The 18,217-nt window shown below is 35.0% G+C and overlaps 1 long non-coding RNA gene across 2 annotated transcripts in view; it reads left to right on the top strand.

Annotated features, from left to right (window-relative positions):
• The window catches only part of LOC107984536 (uncharacterized), a 297,729-nt gene that overhangs the window by 112,563 nt on the left and 166,949 nt on the right, over window positions 1-18,217 (top strand). For both annotated transcript variants that reach the window (XR_001749235.2, XR_001749234.2), the window contains exon 2: window positions 12,860-12,962. This is a non-coding gene — a long non-coding RNA (uncharacterized LOC107984536). The remainder of the gene's footprint in view (window positions 1-12,859; window positions 12,963-18,217) is intronic.

Raw genomic sequence — 18,217 nt, 5'->3', positions numbered from 1 at the left:
CTCACACCTAAACTTTCTCCAAGAATTTCCCTGATCCAAATGGATGAGAGTTGAAGTACCAAAATTATACCCTTCCTCAAGAGGTAGATTGTATCCAGTGAAAATTATTCACAGGGATACAAAGGCCCAGCCTTCTTGGCCAAACTTTGGACTACTCTGAGGGCCCATCTGAACTCTAGAATGTCTAGTAGGATCAGCTAAGATCTCTGTTGTAACTGAATCATATTTCAGCTTTTAACTCTACCCTATCCTGCTTCCCTTACTCCATTATTCTCCTCCAATAAGCCACCTAGGTACAATATCCATTTCAAATTCAGTTTTCTGGAGATTTTGACTAAAGAGAGTTTGTTCGAAGTGTGTTCCTAGCAAGCAGACTCTAACGTGGGATTTTGGAGCTGAATCACCAGCCAGCTGGCTGGCAATAAGAATACTATCAATGGTGTTAGATAGAGTACTGACAGCCTCTGGCAAAAGCTAGTGGTGCCATTGTTATACATTTCACAGATGTAATAAAGCCTTAGTAAAAGCAAATGTAGTCTCGTCTATAATACATTAGCCATTTTAGAGGTTTAGAGCAAGTACTAATTACATAGGATAACAAAATCGGATGAATGTTGCTAGATTTTACTAATGCATTGGAAAACAATAAAGGGCTAAGTGTAATTAATCATTAATTTAGGGTAAAATATGAAAAACAGAGGACTTTCTTGGCAGTTTCTAAAGAGATTCTCTTCTCCTAGAGCTAAAGGACAGATGAGGCTGAGGATCAGGCACAGGATGTAATTTTAAGGGTAGTAGAATTCCAGGGAAGGTTTAATTTTCAATCCAAGCTCTAATTAGGGAAGAAGGGAACCTGAAACTTGGGATGTGTACATCTGGCTCAATGCACTAGAAAACCTAGAGATGTGATCCAATTCCCAGCCCTTGTTGAAAGATGATGCAGAGGTCTCTGCTTTGCAAGAGAATATGTGCTCCCCCAGGATACCCCTACTTCTTTCTTGGTCTTCAGACCAATAATTAGGGTCAAATCACAACATATCTCAGAGAGTACTGGGATTCTGAAAGTGAAAGGTTTATACCCAGTAAAAGTATGGGAGTGCTGGACCAAGCTAACATGTACAAGAAGAAATATGGTATATATTTATGGAAATAGATAATGAAAATGCTGAATTGAAGAGCAAAGTTTGGACAATGGAGAATTTATCAGTTTATCAATATGGGTGCACTCTTCCATGAAGGAGTATTTAACTCTGTGATAAGTACCCTGGAAGAATGAAGTTATATTACGACTATGTTGGAGCTTGGGCACTAGAAGCATGCTGAAAGTGTTTTCCACTTTAAGTGAAGTAGAAATGCTAAGAGGTGGCCGGGCGCGGTGGCTCACGCCTGTAATCCCAGCACTTTGGGAGGCCGAGGCGGGCGGATCACGAGGTCAGGAGATCGAGACCATCCCGGCTAAAACGGTGAAACCCCGTCTCTACTACAAATACAAAAAATTAGCCGGGCGTAGTGGCGGGCGCCTGTAGTCCCAGCTACTTGGGAGGCTGAGGCAGGAGAATGGCGTGAACCCGGGAGGCGGAGCTTGCAGTGAGCCGAGATCCCGCCACTGCACTCCAGCCTGGGCGACAGAGCGAGACTCCGTCTCAAAAAAAAAAAAAAAAAAAAAAGAAATGCCAAGAGGTTGTGGCAAGAGATCAAAAGCTCAGAGAAGTGTTCATACTAGTACATATTTACTACATAAAACCAAAACATTCTAGCGTATAAGATTTTCTAAAATCAGTAAGATTTTAGATCTTAGATCAGATTTTAGATCAGAGTATAAGATTTTCTAAATAAGTAAGATTGTCCCTGTGGATAGCAGAATCTGTGGAGAAGATGCTATTACTGTCCTGAGCTCACTGATAGTAGTGACCATAATAGAGGCTAGATGAACTATAGAGTCAGGCACAATGATGATAAAGAATGGAACAGTTGAGAGCAGACCAGTAGGCCTAACTACAGAGAGCTATGGAGATAGCTAATAAAACCTAAGGCAAGATAGATGGGCAGCCAAAATGTTTATCACTATAGTAATTCAACAAAAAATCAAGGGTAGATCATCGGGATTATGAAAGAGGATGGACCAATCAAGTACAGACTTTTTTTTTTTTCCCAGTTTTCAGATCTGAGGTAGTTCTCAGATGAAGAAGTCACTCACTGAAAAGGGTTTATATCTTTAGGAGGAAGGATCCAGCAATACCATGACAAGTATACGATGTAAACAAACTCTCAGGCCTTCCCCAAAGCTATTTACTCAGGTACAATTCACTGGGAAAGCATGAAGGGAGACAGTTAAAGAACGCTTGGCTATAGGTTTCAAGCTTATATTGATGACAATTGCCAAAAACATTATCACTGCCACTTAGTTAGAATGGAAAAATGTGGATGCTGGGTAATAAACTGAGTAAGCCTCAGGTCAGGCCTGCTGTGGGACTCCTGGACTTCTGGACAAATTTTGTGAACATTTCCCCATTCCTGATTAGAACACCCATACCTGATAGCTGGCAGAACACTCTTTTAGTTTAGTTTAGTTTAGTTTAGTTTAGTTTAGTTTAGTTTTGTTTTGTTTTGTTTTGTTTTGTTTTTCTTGGGATAAAAGCCATCACAGTGGCAGAGGCCAAGTAGAATGACACTCTAAAACAACTACACCAACTCTCAGCCAAAATAGAAAATAAAATACAATATTGCATCCAAGGAGGAATGGCAAAGATTAGTACCAACTTAAAGATGGAAGTAACTCAATGGGCCCACTGTATCTTCCTTGAATTTACAAATTCTGCTTCTATGAAAAAGCAGACAAATCGTGGAAGACACCAGTGGGCTACCACACGATTAACTATATAGTAACACCAGTTGAGGCCACTATGTCAGATGTGGAATCTTTGCTGGAAAAAATGAACAGAGACTCAGGTGCATGGTGTGCGGTCATTTATCTGGCAAATGTTTTTACCCCCCCACTTCTCAAGAAGAATCAGAAGCAGTTCACAATCGCCCAGGATACAAAATATCATACACATTTACAGTTTTGCACAAGGCTATGTTAACCTTTCTGCCCTCTGTTATAATATACTCAAAACAGCCCTATATGAACTGGACATTCTGTAGAATATTACATTAGTCCAATATTGATTTTATCAGTGATATCGCAATAAGATCTGATGAGCCACTAATGGAAAATAAATTGAAGCTTTAATAAAACACATGTACCTCAAAGGCAGGAAGATAAACCCTATTAAGTTTCAGAAGCCCACTATGTATATCAGTGAAGGATTAGAAAATTCAGTGAGCTTCAGGATGCCAGGACATCACCTCCAACTTAAAGGCTGTATCTTTGCATTACAAACTGAGTAAAAATGAAAGTTCACACAATCACTTACAAGAATTTATGTGATCTGTCCGCTGTCCTCTCTCTGACCTCATTTTGTGCTATTTCCCCATCACTATTCATTCCAGTCACACTGGCCTCGATGCTGTTCCAGGAAGGCTCCCCGAACAGGGCCTTAGCTAATTTCCCTGCTGCCTGGAAGGCTCTTCTCCCAGATGTCTCCATGACTAATTCTCTTACTTCCTTTAAATATTTGCTCCAAGTCATCTTTTTAATGAGATCCACCTGTATAGCAACCGTCTTTTCCACCATCATCCCTCACACCCAATGCTTTCAGTCTCTATTATTCTCCATTAATTTCCTTTATAAAACAGCATATGTTCTAATATACTCAATATTTTATCTATTTTTAAGTATTTTGATATTTTTGTCTCCCCTCACTGCTAGAATATAAGGCAAAACTCTTTGTTTTGTTCATAAATATGTTCCAAGTGCCTAGAAAAATTTTTGGCATATAGTAGGTGCTCAATAAATTTTCTAGAAAGAATTGGAAGGAAAGAGCAACCACCACTTTGATTACAAATGCCTTTGAAATGAGAGTCTTTTGCTACAGCAAAGTAGTAAAGGCAGGATTGAAAAATAGTTACATACCTCTTAATAATTCCTAAGCATATCTGTTAACCATAGTGAGACAAGCAATTCAAAAGTATGCGAGGATAAATTGATACACTTGTAAATCAATGATGTGTTAAATTAGTCAGTCCTCTGGAATTTCATTAACATCTACTATCTTTTCTATCTATAGCACAACATAAATATTATTGCTCATTGGGATGACTTGACACTGATAAAGGAAATGCCATTAAAATACATTCCATGTGTGTGCTTTAAAATTTGGAGAAGAAGATAATACATTTATTCATCATTAATTACTTTGCAAATTGAAAACAGTTTGAATGTTAAAAAGCATAAATGGTTAATCGTTCAGGTATTCAGAAAATACTGATGTAAATTAGCTCCTTTGCCTGTGAAAATAAAGAAGAGATGCACAATATCACACTGTAAAATCTCAATTATCAATGTGTAGTTTTTCCACTCTGTGCATTATGTGCCATGTGTTTCAAATCATAGAGCAACTCCTCTGCACGATGCAGAACATTTCTGAGTGTCAGATTCTGTCTCCATCCCTAACCTCTGACTATCCAGGTGCTCCCACATGAGTAGGTTACCACCTGCAGATTCTGGAATTGGCAACAGTCTAAAAGTAATTCAGACCCAGCAGAATTCATAGGAGATCTTTCCTTCCTGAGGCAATATCTTAATAAAATCATAAGCTAGTCTTTGAGGAGGACTTAGATATGATCTAATCCTCTGACATACAAACAGAGCCCTAAGCGGATAGCTGTCAGTACCAGCAAGGGGCATAGCATGTTAGCTTGAAAAACTGAACTCTCCCAGTGTCCTTCACACAGAATATATCTGATTTACCTCTTCTATTTCCCAGGGTTCCATTGGAGACTTTTTAAACCCAGAGTTTTAAAGAAACTTTTTTTAAAAATTAGAAACACTACCAACTTTTATTCTTTACAGAAAGAACAAAAATTCCAGAGTGGAGAGAGCCCAATGATTCAGGCACAAATGTTCTTTTGTTTTATTCATGCATGAAACAATTTTTTATACTGCAGTCTAAGAATTAAAAAGGTTCTGCAGATTTCCTGAGGTTAATGATACAAAGCCAATGAAGGTGGTGGGAAAGGTCTTGGAATTCATAGTTTAAAAATGTAAAATCGAGGAAATTTTGGGCTGTAAAAGTAAAAACCAAAGGGAGCTGTGCAAAGCAATGGAGGTCGAGATAAGCAGTTATTAAGACATATTGGCTACTCTAAAATCTACATCTCCAATTCTAGATTTTAGAATTCCAACTGTCTCTTGAACTTCTCCATGATGTATAGAAAAAAACCCTCAGACTTTAACACACCTTCCCCTAGGAAGCCCTCGGTTTTCTTCTTCAAATCTCCTGTCCCTCAGACTTTCCCAGCTCTGCTATTAAATCTGTTGACCCAAAAGCTCAAGCCAAATATCACAGTGTTACTCTGATTTCCCTCTTTCCTCATTTCCCTCATGCAACTTATGAATAAGTCCTGTCAATACTATTCTAAAATATATCAACAATATTTTAATTTTCATTTTCTCCATTTTCACTAATCTGAAACTATTTCAAACCACCACTCTCCTACAATTGACCACTGCAATAGTCTTCTACTAGCAATCACTTATTTTATTCTGTCGTTTATAACTCATTCTTCACATGGAAGCCCGAGAAAGCTTCCCTGGTCACCTAATCTAAGAAAACAATCAGACACTCTCAATTACATAACTTTATTTTAATTTTATGCATTCTACTAATCGCTTTTTGGTATTTGCTAGAATTTATTTAGGTGTTTGCCTAATGTTTGCCTGACTTACGGAAATGAAGGCTTTAGGGACCATATCTGTCTCATTTTCCCTATATCATTAGGCCATGTTCCCAACATGGCCTAGAACATAGTAGCTGCTTAATAAATATTTGTTTAACAAATAGCTAACAAAAAAATCTGGCTATATGGCACTACAACCATGGCCTAATGTTTTTAAATGTCTCTATTCTAATTCCTCTGTAACCATTAATGTCTTTCTTCACATAGCCAAGTTTTCTGGCCATAATATAACATGAGCAAGGTTGAAAAATACTGGCAGATATTATTTGTCTTTAGCTATACAGTGGTTGATTATACAGACAGTGATGATTAGCATTGTATATATGTATGTATAAAGTAATCTCTCCCAATTATTGATTGCCCAATCCATTCTCAAGTTTCCCATTCAGAGGGGGTAATACACAATGTAGGTAATGTTAATATCATGTATATTTCCTTTAAAATCCCAGACATTTCGATTGTAGTTTTACTTTTTAAATTATGTTTTACACAGGTTAGCAGCAATTGTATTGCATTTGAATAGTACGTCTGATGATGTCATGGAGACTTATTGCCAATATTGGTAATTGGAACCCAAGAAACACTCAATTGAGGGATTATGTGCAGCAGAGTTAAGAAAACAATAGTTAAAATTTTTTGTGATGTGGGAAAATCAAATCTGCTACATTCTAAAAATTGCTTCATTCATTTGGTCATACAGATTCCAGGGACTAAATCACCTGCTCAAGTTCTCACACCTATCTAGTTACTTACCTGGTACTGGAGCTAAAGACCTTGATTATAGGTCACTGATTCACTACATCCTATTATCTACTTTATACACATATGTATTAGTTCAACTCATTATTGATCATCCACTATATTTTAGGCAAAATATCAAAGATGTCAGAAAATATTTAAATCATCATACTTGTCTATATTTATAGGAAAGATAAATGTATCTCAAATACATTTGTTAGTGTCTAAATTGCTTGGCCACGTCCTGACTCCTGGAATTTCATATTTCAGTAGGTTTGGTAAAATTACTTCTTTTATTACTACCAGCTCAGTCTTTTTTCATTCCCATAGGTTATTGGGGAACAGGTAATGTTTGGTTACATGAGTAAATTATTTAGTGGTAATTTATGAGGTTTCAGTGCACTCATCACCCTAGCAGTATACACTGCACCCTATTTGTAGTCTTTTATCCCTCATTCCCTTCCTACCCTTTCTCCCTGAGCCCTCAAAGTCCATTGTGCCATTCTTGTGCCTTTGCATCCTCCTAGCTTAACTCCCACTTATGAGAGAGAACATAAATGTTTGGTTGGTTTTCCATTCCTGAGTTACTTCACTTAGATTAATAGCCTCCAATATCATCCAGACGTTCACTGTGAATACCATTAATTCATTCCTTTATGGCTCAGTAGTATTCCATCATATATACATACATACATACATATATATATATATATATATATATATATATATATATATGTATCACAGTTTCCTTATCCCCTCATTGATTGATGGACATGGACATTTGGGTTGGTTCCATGTTTTTGCAATTGTGAATTGTGCTGCTATAAACATGCATGTGCAAGCATCTTTTTCGTATAATGACCTCTTTTCCTCTGGTTAGATACCCAGTAGTGGGATTGCTGGACTAAATGGTAGTTCTGCTTTTAGTTCTTTAAGGAATCTTCAAACTGTTTTCCATAGTGATTGTACTCGTTTACATTCCCACCAGCAGTGTTAAAGTGTTCCCTGTTCACTGCATCCACACCAACATCTATTATTTTTTTGTTCTTTGACTATGGCCATTCTTGCAGGAATAAGATGGTATTGCATTGTGGTTTTGATTTGCATTTCCCTGAGCATTAGTGATGTTGAGCATTTTTTCATATGCTTTTTGGCCATTGCCACATGTGGGAGAATGAAACTGGATCCTCATCTCTCACCTTATACAAAAATCAACTGAAGATGAATTAAGGACTTAAATCTAAGAACTGAAACTATAAAAATTCTAGATGATAACATTGGAATAACCCTCCTAGACATTGGGCTAGGCAAACCAAGAACCCAAAAGCAAATTCAACAAAAACAAAGATATATAACTGGGACTTAATTAAACTAAAGAGTTTTTGTATGGCAAAAGGAACAGTCAGCAGAGTGAACAGACAACCCACAGAGTGGGAGAATATCTTCACAATCTATACATCTGACAAAGGACTAATATCCAGAATCTACAATGAACTCGAACAAATCAGCAAGAAAAAGACAAACAATCCCATCAAAATGTGGGCTAAGGACATGAATAGACAATTCTTAAAAGAGGATATACCAGCTCAGTCTCATTCTTGACTCTCTGATTCAGTGACTGCTTGCCAGACAATTGCTTATTTAATTTACTAAGATATTTTGCTATAAGTTTCATATACTTTTTCAAATTTAATGTTCATATCAAATCAGTAAGTTATGGATTATGAATCTCATCTTTTAGATGATGAAACTGAGGTTTATATGCTATAGCCAGTAAGAAGTGGAGCTAAGTTTTGAACTCCTATTTTTATAGCTTATGCCCACGCCCATTCAATCATGCCATTCTGTCTTCCGATTATATTTCCTTGATACATAGAACCTGAATGTTTTCTGATTTTTAATTTCATTCATATTTTTCACTCGAATTTATATAAAGGTTTCTCATCTCTTGATATGTACACTTAGCTTCAACATAGGCTTTTAAATGTAATTCCCTGTTTGGGCCATTTTCTTCCCCAGTCTATTTCTGTAATTTTCTCCCATAATCGACTACTGCCTGTGACAAGTACTGCCAATGACGGTCACCACCAAACATCTTTGGGTGTATCTAGATGAAATTGGATTTTAGTATCAACATAAGAAAAATAATTACAAAAGTGAATGAGTTATTGAAATATATTTAGTTGCATTTACAATACATATAAACTACTCCATTCTCCTGACAACAGTAATTGAGACTTAAGATCGACACCAAGGGAAATTGTTTTACAATAACTCACTGTTAACCATCTTTATTGATATTATAATTGTGATCAAAAGCATTTAGGACATCACTGATATTATTTTCCACACTAGATTCTTCAAGTTACTCTTGGTCCAAAAATATGTCCTGGACTCTTTAAGCCATGAAGGCCTGGCCAGTCTGTCTCTCATCTGGTTTTTAGCATCACAGAGGCAGGATGGGTAGAGTCATCTATCTTCTATCTGTTTTATTCTGAATTCATTCATGGCTTTGAGGTGAATCTCCTAGGATTTGGCTTTCATAACATTTTTTTTGTTTTGATTTAATAGTTCAGGTAATAGATTCTATGATTGATATTTACTTCCTCATATTAAACCTTATCCCTGGCTTCTGAGGCAGTTCTAAACTTTGACTTCTGGCCTCGATCAATGGCCAGAAATATCACTCACAGTCCCTGCTGTCCCAAGTAAGATAAGGTAGATGATTCTGTGTTTGCATGATGGTATCTGCTGCATGACTTAAGAATAGTTTCCTTCACATTTTGAGGACAATCTTATAAATAACAAAGAGAAGGGGTGTCTTTGTCCGTTCAAGCTGCTGTAACAAATTACCATAGTCTGTGTGGTTTAAGCAATTTATTTCTCACAGTTCTGGAAGCTAGAAAGTCGAAGATCAAGACACCAACTGATCTAGTGTCTAGTGAGGGCCTGTTTTTTGGTTTTCTTGTAGCTTCACCTGGTGGAGAATAGAGAAAGCACAAACTCTCTTGTCTCTTTTCATAAGGGCACTAATTCTATTCATGGAGACTCCCACATAATTATCTACCAAAGGCTTCACTTTCTAATACCATCACCTTAGGGGTTAGGGTTTTAACACGTGAAGTTTGAGAAGACACAAACATTTAGTCCATAACAAGGAACTTCTTTATTTTACCATGTTATGAATTTGATGAATAGTCTGGAAAACAATTTGCTTATTCTTCATATTTTTCCACTTGTCTAGTGGTCTTCTCCTTTAAATTTTACTGTATCCTTAAAATAGTAGTAAAAAAATTAAATAACTGCAACAAAAACAAAAATCTTTATACTCAGAGACTCCTTATGTGTAAATACAATCACATGCTGTATAGCAGTATTTCAGTGCAATATGATGCTGATCTCATAAGATTATGATAGTTCATTTTTAGTGTTTCTTTTCTACACTTAGATATGTTTAGGTACCATTTACCATTGTGTTATAATTACCTATAGTATTTAGTACAGTAAGATGCTGATATGGTTTGGCTCTGTGTCCCCACCCAAATCTCATTTAGAATTGTAATCTGCCTACGTAGAGTAGAGGGAGGGAGGTGATTGGATCATGGGGGCAGATTCCCCCATGCTGTTCTCGTGAATTCTCAGGTGATCTGATGGTTTTATAGACGGTAGTTTTTTCCGTACTCTCACATGCTCTCTCTCTCACCTGCCATCATAAAAGACATGCCTGCTTCCCCTTTCATCATGATTGTAAGTTTCCTGAGGTCTCCCCAAACATGCAGAACTGTAAGTCAATGAAACCTCTTTCCTTTATAAATTACCCAGGCTCAGGAAGTTCTTTACAGCAGTGTGAAAACAAACTAATACTACAGTTTTGTAGTCTAGGAGCCATAGGCTATACCCCATAGCCTAGGTGTATATAGGTTCACCATCAAGCTTTGTGAGTATACTCCATGGTGTTTGCACATCACAAAATTACCTAATGATGCATTTCTCATATTTCTATCATTAAGTGACACATGACTGTAAATGGAGAATACTAATTAGAGAGGACAAATATTTTATTTTGAATTATTTCTTGTCATCCCTTGTTCAAAACTTTTAAAATTCAGTCAGGTCTGAAACATCATATGGTGGATATTATAAAATAAGTAAATGTTCTTTTCCAATTTAAATCAATCCTATACATTCCAATTTGAGATTTGCCATTATTTTGACACAGAGTCAAAGACAAACATAAATGTAGTTACAATAACCAACCTACGACTAATGCGTAGGACAATTTAACTTCCCCTTTTCAGAAAATTGTTGAATAAACACATCAAAGTAATCACCTAACTGAAGACCCAGATCATATTATTTTAATGACAGCTATACAAGATTTATTTTCAAAATGTCCACTTTAACATCAAGCAACTAGACAATTCAACAGCCCACCTGCAGAAGTGTCATGGTGACTTAAAACTATTAAATAACAGCCAGGACTTATTTTCTATTCACTTTAGAAGCAAGTAAGTGTTGTTTTAATGTTTGAAGGCAGCTTGATTTCCAGACAAACAGATGCCTAATTTTTATATTGCATTTTTATAAGAGCATACTTCAATTTACAGGTTCCTGTTAACAAGTTCTCAATTCCATTTTTGGAAAAACAGATTAAATTTGGGGGCCCAGGTGTATGTGTGTGTCTGTGTGTGTGTGTGTGTGTGTGTGTGTGTGTGTGCTTTAAATGGTGCCATGTCACTTTGAACTAGCTTCTAGTAAAATGCATCTCATTATTTGTTTAATAATCAGTATATTACAGACACCTTTAATTTGTTTTTTGTACTTAATGTTGAGATTGACACATTTACCTCAGGAAATAATAGTATAATACTTAGCCAGGGATACGAAATTTTATTTTTATTCTCAAATTGTATATTATAAGAATAATTAGCATTAGAAAAACTGTACTAAAATTTTGAGCAGGGACATCTGTGAAACAGGAAAATTCCAACAACAGAGTTCAATTCTAACCTGTTTTTCTGCATAAAGTTATGAAATCTACTAGTAACAAAAGTTCTTTTTCCACTAAATCAACTATGTTAGTGTAGGATTCAGCATTTGAAGCTAAAAATCATATCACATTATGATTTTCCTATGTAAAGGAATGTTCCCTTCCTTCTTATACAGGTCCTTGAAGGAGTGCATGGAAGCCCACAAATCTTACTACTTGGGGACTTTCTACAAAGTTAGAATAAATATGGGATTCAATACACTACACTACATTTCTAATGTTCTGCATCCGCTAAGTAAACATCAAAATTCAAATTTTACTTTCTGTGCTATAAACCAGCACTTTGTTTGATCATTTTTGAAATATACATTATGTAAATATCAAAGGAAATGTCAATATATGAAGTGGAAGTGCCTTCCATCACATGGCAGAGATCATTACTAACACTTCTAACAGCAAGTTGCCTGAGTGCAATTCAACATGCATTATGGCCATGGCCTTGAAGTCTCTACTCCCAGATCAGTATATTCTTAAATAACTATATTTGATTGAGCTATAGGGCCTAAAATCTGGGCTCAAGCAATTTTTAAATGCCATACAATTATATAGTTACATATTGATTTTATATTCAGTAATAGAAGAAAAGATGCACAATTCATACTTAGAAATACTATGAAAATAACATTTAGAAAATAAAGTGTATTTTTATTATTTATTTGTAGAACCAATTCATATGATAGCTCTTTTTGTCCCATCTAGCACATAACTATCTCTTCTCAGATTGCCAAGAATGCCAGTGATCCTTTTCAATTTCAAGGGAATTCTACAAAAAATTAATATCGCCAAACCTTTTAACAAGATTATCTATAAACCCTATAATGGGTTTTCTTAATTATCTTGCTGATTCCTCTATTCTCATACTGATCTATCTTTGGAATTAGAAGATGATAGATCATCTTAAATATCTACAATTTATTATATCTGGCTAAGCAGTCATGCAAATCTGAGGGTTCCAAAGAATGCTCTCTGTGGTCCCTTATTAATGTCTCAAGGAGGAAATTTAGCATAGCTCTTCCATTCAAGAACTTATTTTACCTCATATTATATTTAAAAGTATACAATTAAATACCACGTAGAGTTATAATAGATGTGTATTCATTTTTAAGCACTGTGAAAACGAGACAAGAATTTTTGAAATCATGGAGCTCAGAGCATAACATTTAAAAATGATTAATACATAAAATAATTATTGATTATTTATTATATATTATTTATATGGTTTTATCATAGGTGCTGCAAAGGGAAATTATGTCTAGCATAAGACACAATCTCTGACATTGAAGAACTTACAATTGAATTGAGGAAATAACATATCTCCGGACAACTTAACAAGGTAATTAATATCAAATTCCAAAGGGTATAATATATGCTAAAGATATTCAGAAAGAGGAGTGATATTTTCCATTGGGTCACACAATACCATTTGGTTTCATCGACATAGCAGTCGAGAGGTTTGTTAAAGGTGAATTATCATAAATTAATTTTTGTTCATAGTCATAATGAGTAATGAAAAACAGAAATAGAAATGGATGAGAGATGTTAGTTGACTAAGTCAAAATTTTATTTATTACTGAAGATTGAATATGATGTTGGATACTAGTAATGATGTATCTTGAATGTCAGTCTGAGAAATCCGCTTTTAACCTGAATCAATGGGCTGTCACTTCAGTACTTCAACTATTATTTGGTACTTCCACTCAGTAACCACTGAGGTCACAAAATAAACAAAAGCAAGGTGATCTAAAACATTGTGAAAAGCCATTTAGATCATGCTAGGAATGGGATTTTAAAAACCTAATCATATAGCAATTAGTAGTAAGAATAAAATTGCTTAGTAAACATTAGTTAAATATTGGATTTCTCACAGTACTTAATATTTTTCTATCTTATATAATTTTTATGATTTACACGATTATACATACTCTTGCCTATTCAAAGTTGATGACCTTACAACAACCTTTTGAGTAGACAGAGTGGTTATAAGTTTCTAAAATAAATAACTAAGAATTAGAAAATTTAAGTAACTTGTCACAGTTAAACAGCCAAGGTTTTATTTTAGACACTGATGGGGCCATATTTTCCTCTTAGAAATAAAGACTACAAAGCAGTTTTAATATTTCAATCATTTTTTTCTTTTTCTCTATGGTTTCTGAATAAACCATAGAAACTAAGCAGGGTCATAAGAGTTGCTAAACAAAGGTGTAACTTTGAAGGTAAGGACTCTTCTAGAACTGTTGAAACTCAGAGCCCATGCTCAACTCAAACATAAGGTAATAGGAAAAAATAAAGAATATTCTTTCTTCTGGTAAACCAATTACCTCTCAAAATCTACTTACAATGCAAATTAAAAGGGTTCAGAGGATTCTGTCAGCATCACTCCCTACATTTAAACATGCTTCATTTCATTGCTAACACATCGAGTTCACGATACATAATAATCGGTGTCACCAGCAATGAGTTTTATATATTCTATAACTACAGGAGTCAAATCCTTTTAAAGACTATGAAAAATTAATGTTTAACAAAAGAAGCATAGTAATTTTGTTATCCATTCCTTGATTAGGTTCATTTGTTCTTCTTTGTTATTTCAATCTGGTAAACATTTTCTTATGTGCTTGCACTGATGTACCGTATTATGGGTTTATAGTGTCCTCTTAATTTAAAGTTTCAGTGTGACATTTCCATTAGTTCTGATACAGCACTGCACTGGATTTCTTTAGTTTATCAGCTTATTTCCTAGTATTGGACACTGTGTTATTTTACATTTGTTCAAAACAATGTGAATTCAGAATATGCCTATTTTATGGCTAAGTGTATGGAAAGTAGATTTTGGGCAAGTCACTAGATAGGCAGATTAAAGGAATTGTATAATATAATATTGTCCTTCAGATATTTCTTGTCTCAAACATGAGAGAGCCTTCATCCATCTACCTTATTTTATCTCATAATTCTGGGCTAGAATCATCACCCAAGTCCTTACAAAGGGCAGTCTTTCATATACTGCTAGCAGTTGTTTAAGCTAATGCAATAATTTTTTTGAAGTATGTATATGCAATTTTTACTCAAATGCCAACAAATATTTATGTTCTTTACAACAAGATATAAACTTCTAGGCAGGTAAGTTTTGAATAATCTAAAATACAAGGAGCAAAGTTTGCCAAGCAGTATTGATTTCAAAATGAGTAGTGTAAAATATTGGAAACAATATCAATATCCAACAAAAGTGAAATGTCCATTGCATTATGAAACATCTAAAACAATGTGGATAAGAAGCATTTAATCACACAGAAAAGTAGTCACTAAGAGTGCAGATCCTATTAGACTTTCTACTACTACGCTCACAAAACGTCTTCCACAAACTACTAATTGAGTGGTCTTGGGCAAGCTGTTCTCTCTTTGTCTCTATTTTCTCAACCATTTAATGGAGATAATAACTACTTCAGGGGATGTTGTAAACATTTGACAAATTAATATATATTAAGCTTTTTGAACAGTGCTTGGAAGGTAATTAATGCCAAAAAAGCTATTATGAGTATTTTATTATAATTTTCATTAATAATATCTTAATGGTTTTTAAATAAGACTAAAAAGATTGAAAAATAATTACTAAAAGATAACGTTGAGATTATCAATGATGGTTTTATCTAAAATTTGACTTTATATTTTTAAAATTTAAAATTTCTTAAATATTTTTACAAATTAATATTTTACAATAAAAGTTAGCAATGTGAAAACGTGCTTAAGAAATACATACTTTAAATGGAAAATTAAAAAAGGAAGCCAGCTCCGCTATACCTGGTCAATCTAACACTGATTCCTAATTTGTTTGAGGAATTTTGGAAACAAATTTCTTACAAGTCTGTTTCAGGGAGGACTAGCTAGATTTTGCTGTGCTAAAACACACAAACAAAAACCAAAACTACCTCAAACTAAAGGGTTTAAAACAACAAGGACTTTTTTTTTTTCACCATGCTTATCACAGTTCAGTAGAGAGGGGAGAGCATGCTCTGCTTATCACAGTTCTTAAGAACGCTGACTGCTGGAGCAACGCCAATCTCAAATTGCCATCAATGTGCAAGAGTGGAGGAAACTCTAGAGGATCTTATTATTGGCAATTAAGTACCCTGGCCTGGGAGTGTTACTATACGTTCTTTAACAGTTCATTGGCCAGAACTAGTCACATGGTGAGACTAAACCATGAAGGGGTCCGAGAAGTGAACAAAGGGATTTTCATTCTTACACAAAAGTATATTAAAAATTAAGAAGTTTAAGAAAATGCCCAGAAGTCTATGCTTTAAATGCCAATTGGCTAGAGATTATAAATGTGTTATAAGAACATCAATCATACCTGTCAAAATAAGGGGCTCAGTAAAACTGCAACAAGGAGAAATAAAGGAGGTGAAATAATTAGAAGGCGGCCAGTGAACCTCAGATTTAATTCAGAAGGCAAGCAGAAAATTTTCAGTATGCCACTAAGCTCTACACTTTTGAGTGTGGCAGAAAATGTCCAGTCAAGTAAGGAGTGGCCAAAGGAAAAACAATTAGAGACATGAAAAGCAAAGGAGGTAATGAGCAGAGGATGAAGAAAAAGTAACACTAGTCTAAAACTGGGTATTTTTGTCTCAGAGTTATTATTTTAAAGAGCCAAGAATTATGTCTTCTTTCTCTTGTTTTACATGCTTTTAGTCCCAGAAAACTTCATTTCTACACTCATAGATTTCTATATGTGTAGTCTGAGAATCGGTTATTTGTTATTCTTGAATATGGTCACAACTTTCTATTAATATAATTATCTGGTCAGTATTGAAACATAATTAAAAATTATCTTCACTTTCTAATTTATAAAATTATTATATTGTTTTGAATAAACTAAGATTCCTTTGAATTTCAGAATTCTAACTAAAAGTTTAGAGTAAAATCAATTCTCAATACCCATTCTACTGTCAAAGTTCATCCCTCATTCCCACCTCGTGTTTTCATCTGGTTTCCTGTAATCCACCATTTCACAGTTTATCTTCTATATTTATGGGGGTTTCTGCTCATCTTTGATTTATGAGCTCATCTTCCCCAAACCCTAAGAGTTGTCCCAAATGTACCTCTTTGAATTTCCTTTTCATTTATTTTTTAAGTTTTGTTAAATCCTTGGAGAATACTTAATTTCTTTAAATATTCCAACAACTTCTGTATTGGTATCTTGAGACCACAGCTCTCTCCTCACTTTACTCATAATGAACTTCTTATTTGGTGTTTTCATCCACATGTATAATAAGAATATCAAATCAGCATACTGAAAACTGAGCTCCTCATCCTTTCTATCCCGATAAGTTTGTTTCTTCACCACCTCTGCAAAAGACAATTTTATTTTCAAGCTGCACAGGCCAAAAAACTCAGTATCTTACCCGACTCCTCTCTTTATATTACACCCTAGACTAAACAAAGGCCTTCAGCAATCTTGACCACTTCTCACTATTTCTACTGCTTCCATCCTAGCCTAAACCACCATCATATTTTTCCTGATTTATTTTCACCAGTCTTCCAAATAGTGCCTTGGCTTCCACCCTTAAACAGCTCCAATCTTTTCCTGACACAGTCATCGGAATGATCCAGTCAAAACAGAAGTCAGACCATATTATTCTTATAGCGAAACATCTAGTGTATTCCCACCACAGAGTAAAAATCAAATTTCTTATAATATTCGAAAAGGCTCTACACATTTTAAGCCCCCTTTATCTTTCTGACTTCTTTTCCTGTTGCTATCTTTTTTCTCATACTGATCTCCTAACTCTTTTATAAACATGCTAGGCATGCTTCTACCTCAGGCCATCTGTATTTCTGTTTGCTCTACCTAAAATGTTCTTCCCTCCTTTACCTGCTGGCTTACTTCCTCTCCACATTCAATTGTTTAACAAATTGTCACTTTCTCAATGAAACTCTTCCCATCTATTATGTTTAATTTTGAAAACTCCAATACTTCTTGTTATGCAACTCTCCAACAACCACCTTCTATAACATCCTTTATTTCTCTCTTCAGCAAGTATCACCATTTACCATGTAATTATTTTAATTATTTACCTTAGTTCTTACCTGATTTTCTCACTGAAGGAAAACTCTTATAGGCAATGTTTTTCTTTTGTCTTTCTGTTTATTCATTGTTGTATCTCTGGTGCCTAGAACATTGCTTGCTATATGACCCTCATTTGTGCTGACTGAATTAATGATTTATCCTGAATGTAATTATTTTTAACTGTGCCAGTATGATTTCCTCATATCTTACTTAATTTCTTATATTTGAATTTAGGTTGTATATGGATATTTGAATTTAAAGACAAATAATAATTGATTAACCTTATCAATAAATAGCTTATAATGTTACATCAGCTTGCAATTAATTAAAAGGCCCCCCCCTTTTTTTTTTCTTTTTGAGACAGAGTCTCTCTCTGTCGGCCAGGCTGGAGTGCAGTGGCATGATTTCGGCTCACTGCAACCTCCGTCTCCCAGGCTCAAGCAATTCTCCTGCCTCAGCCTCCCAAGTAGCTGGGATTACAGGCATGTGCCACCACACCTGGCTAATTTTTGTATTTTTAGTAG

Source organism: Homo sapiens, chromosome 12 (genome assembly GCF_000001405.40).
Source record: "Homo sapiens chromosome 12, GRCh38.p14 Primary Assembly".
Classification (NCBI taxonomy): domain Eukaryota; kingdom Metazoa; phylum Chordata; class Mammalia; order Primates; family Hominidae; genus Homo; species Homo sapiens.
Note: the sequence above shows the minus strand (reverse complement) of the source record. Positions and strands in the feature narration are given on the sequence as shown.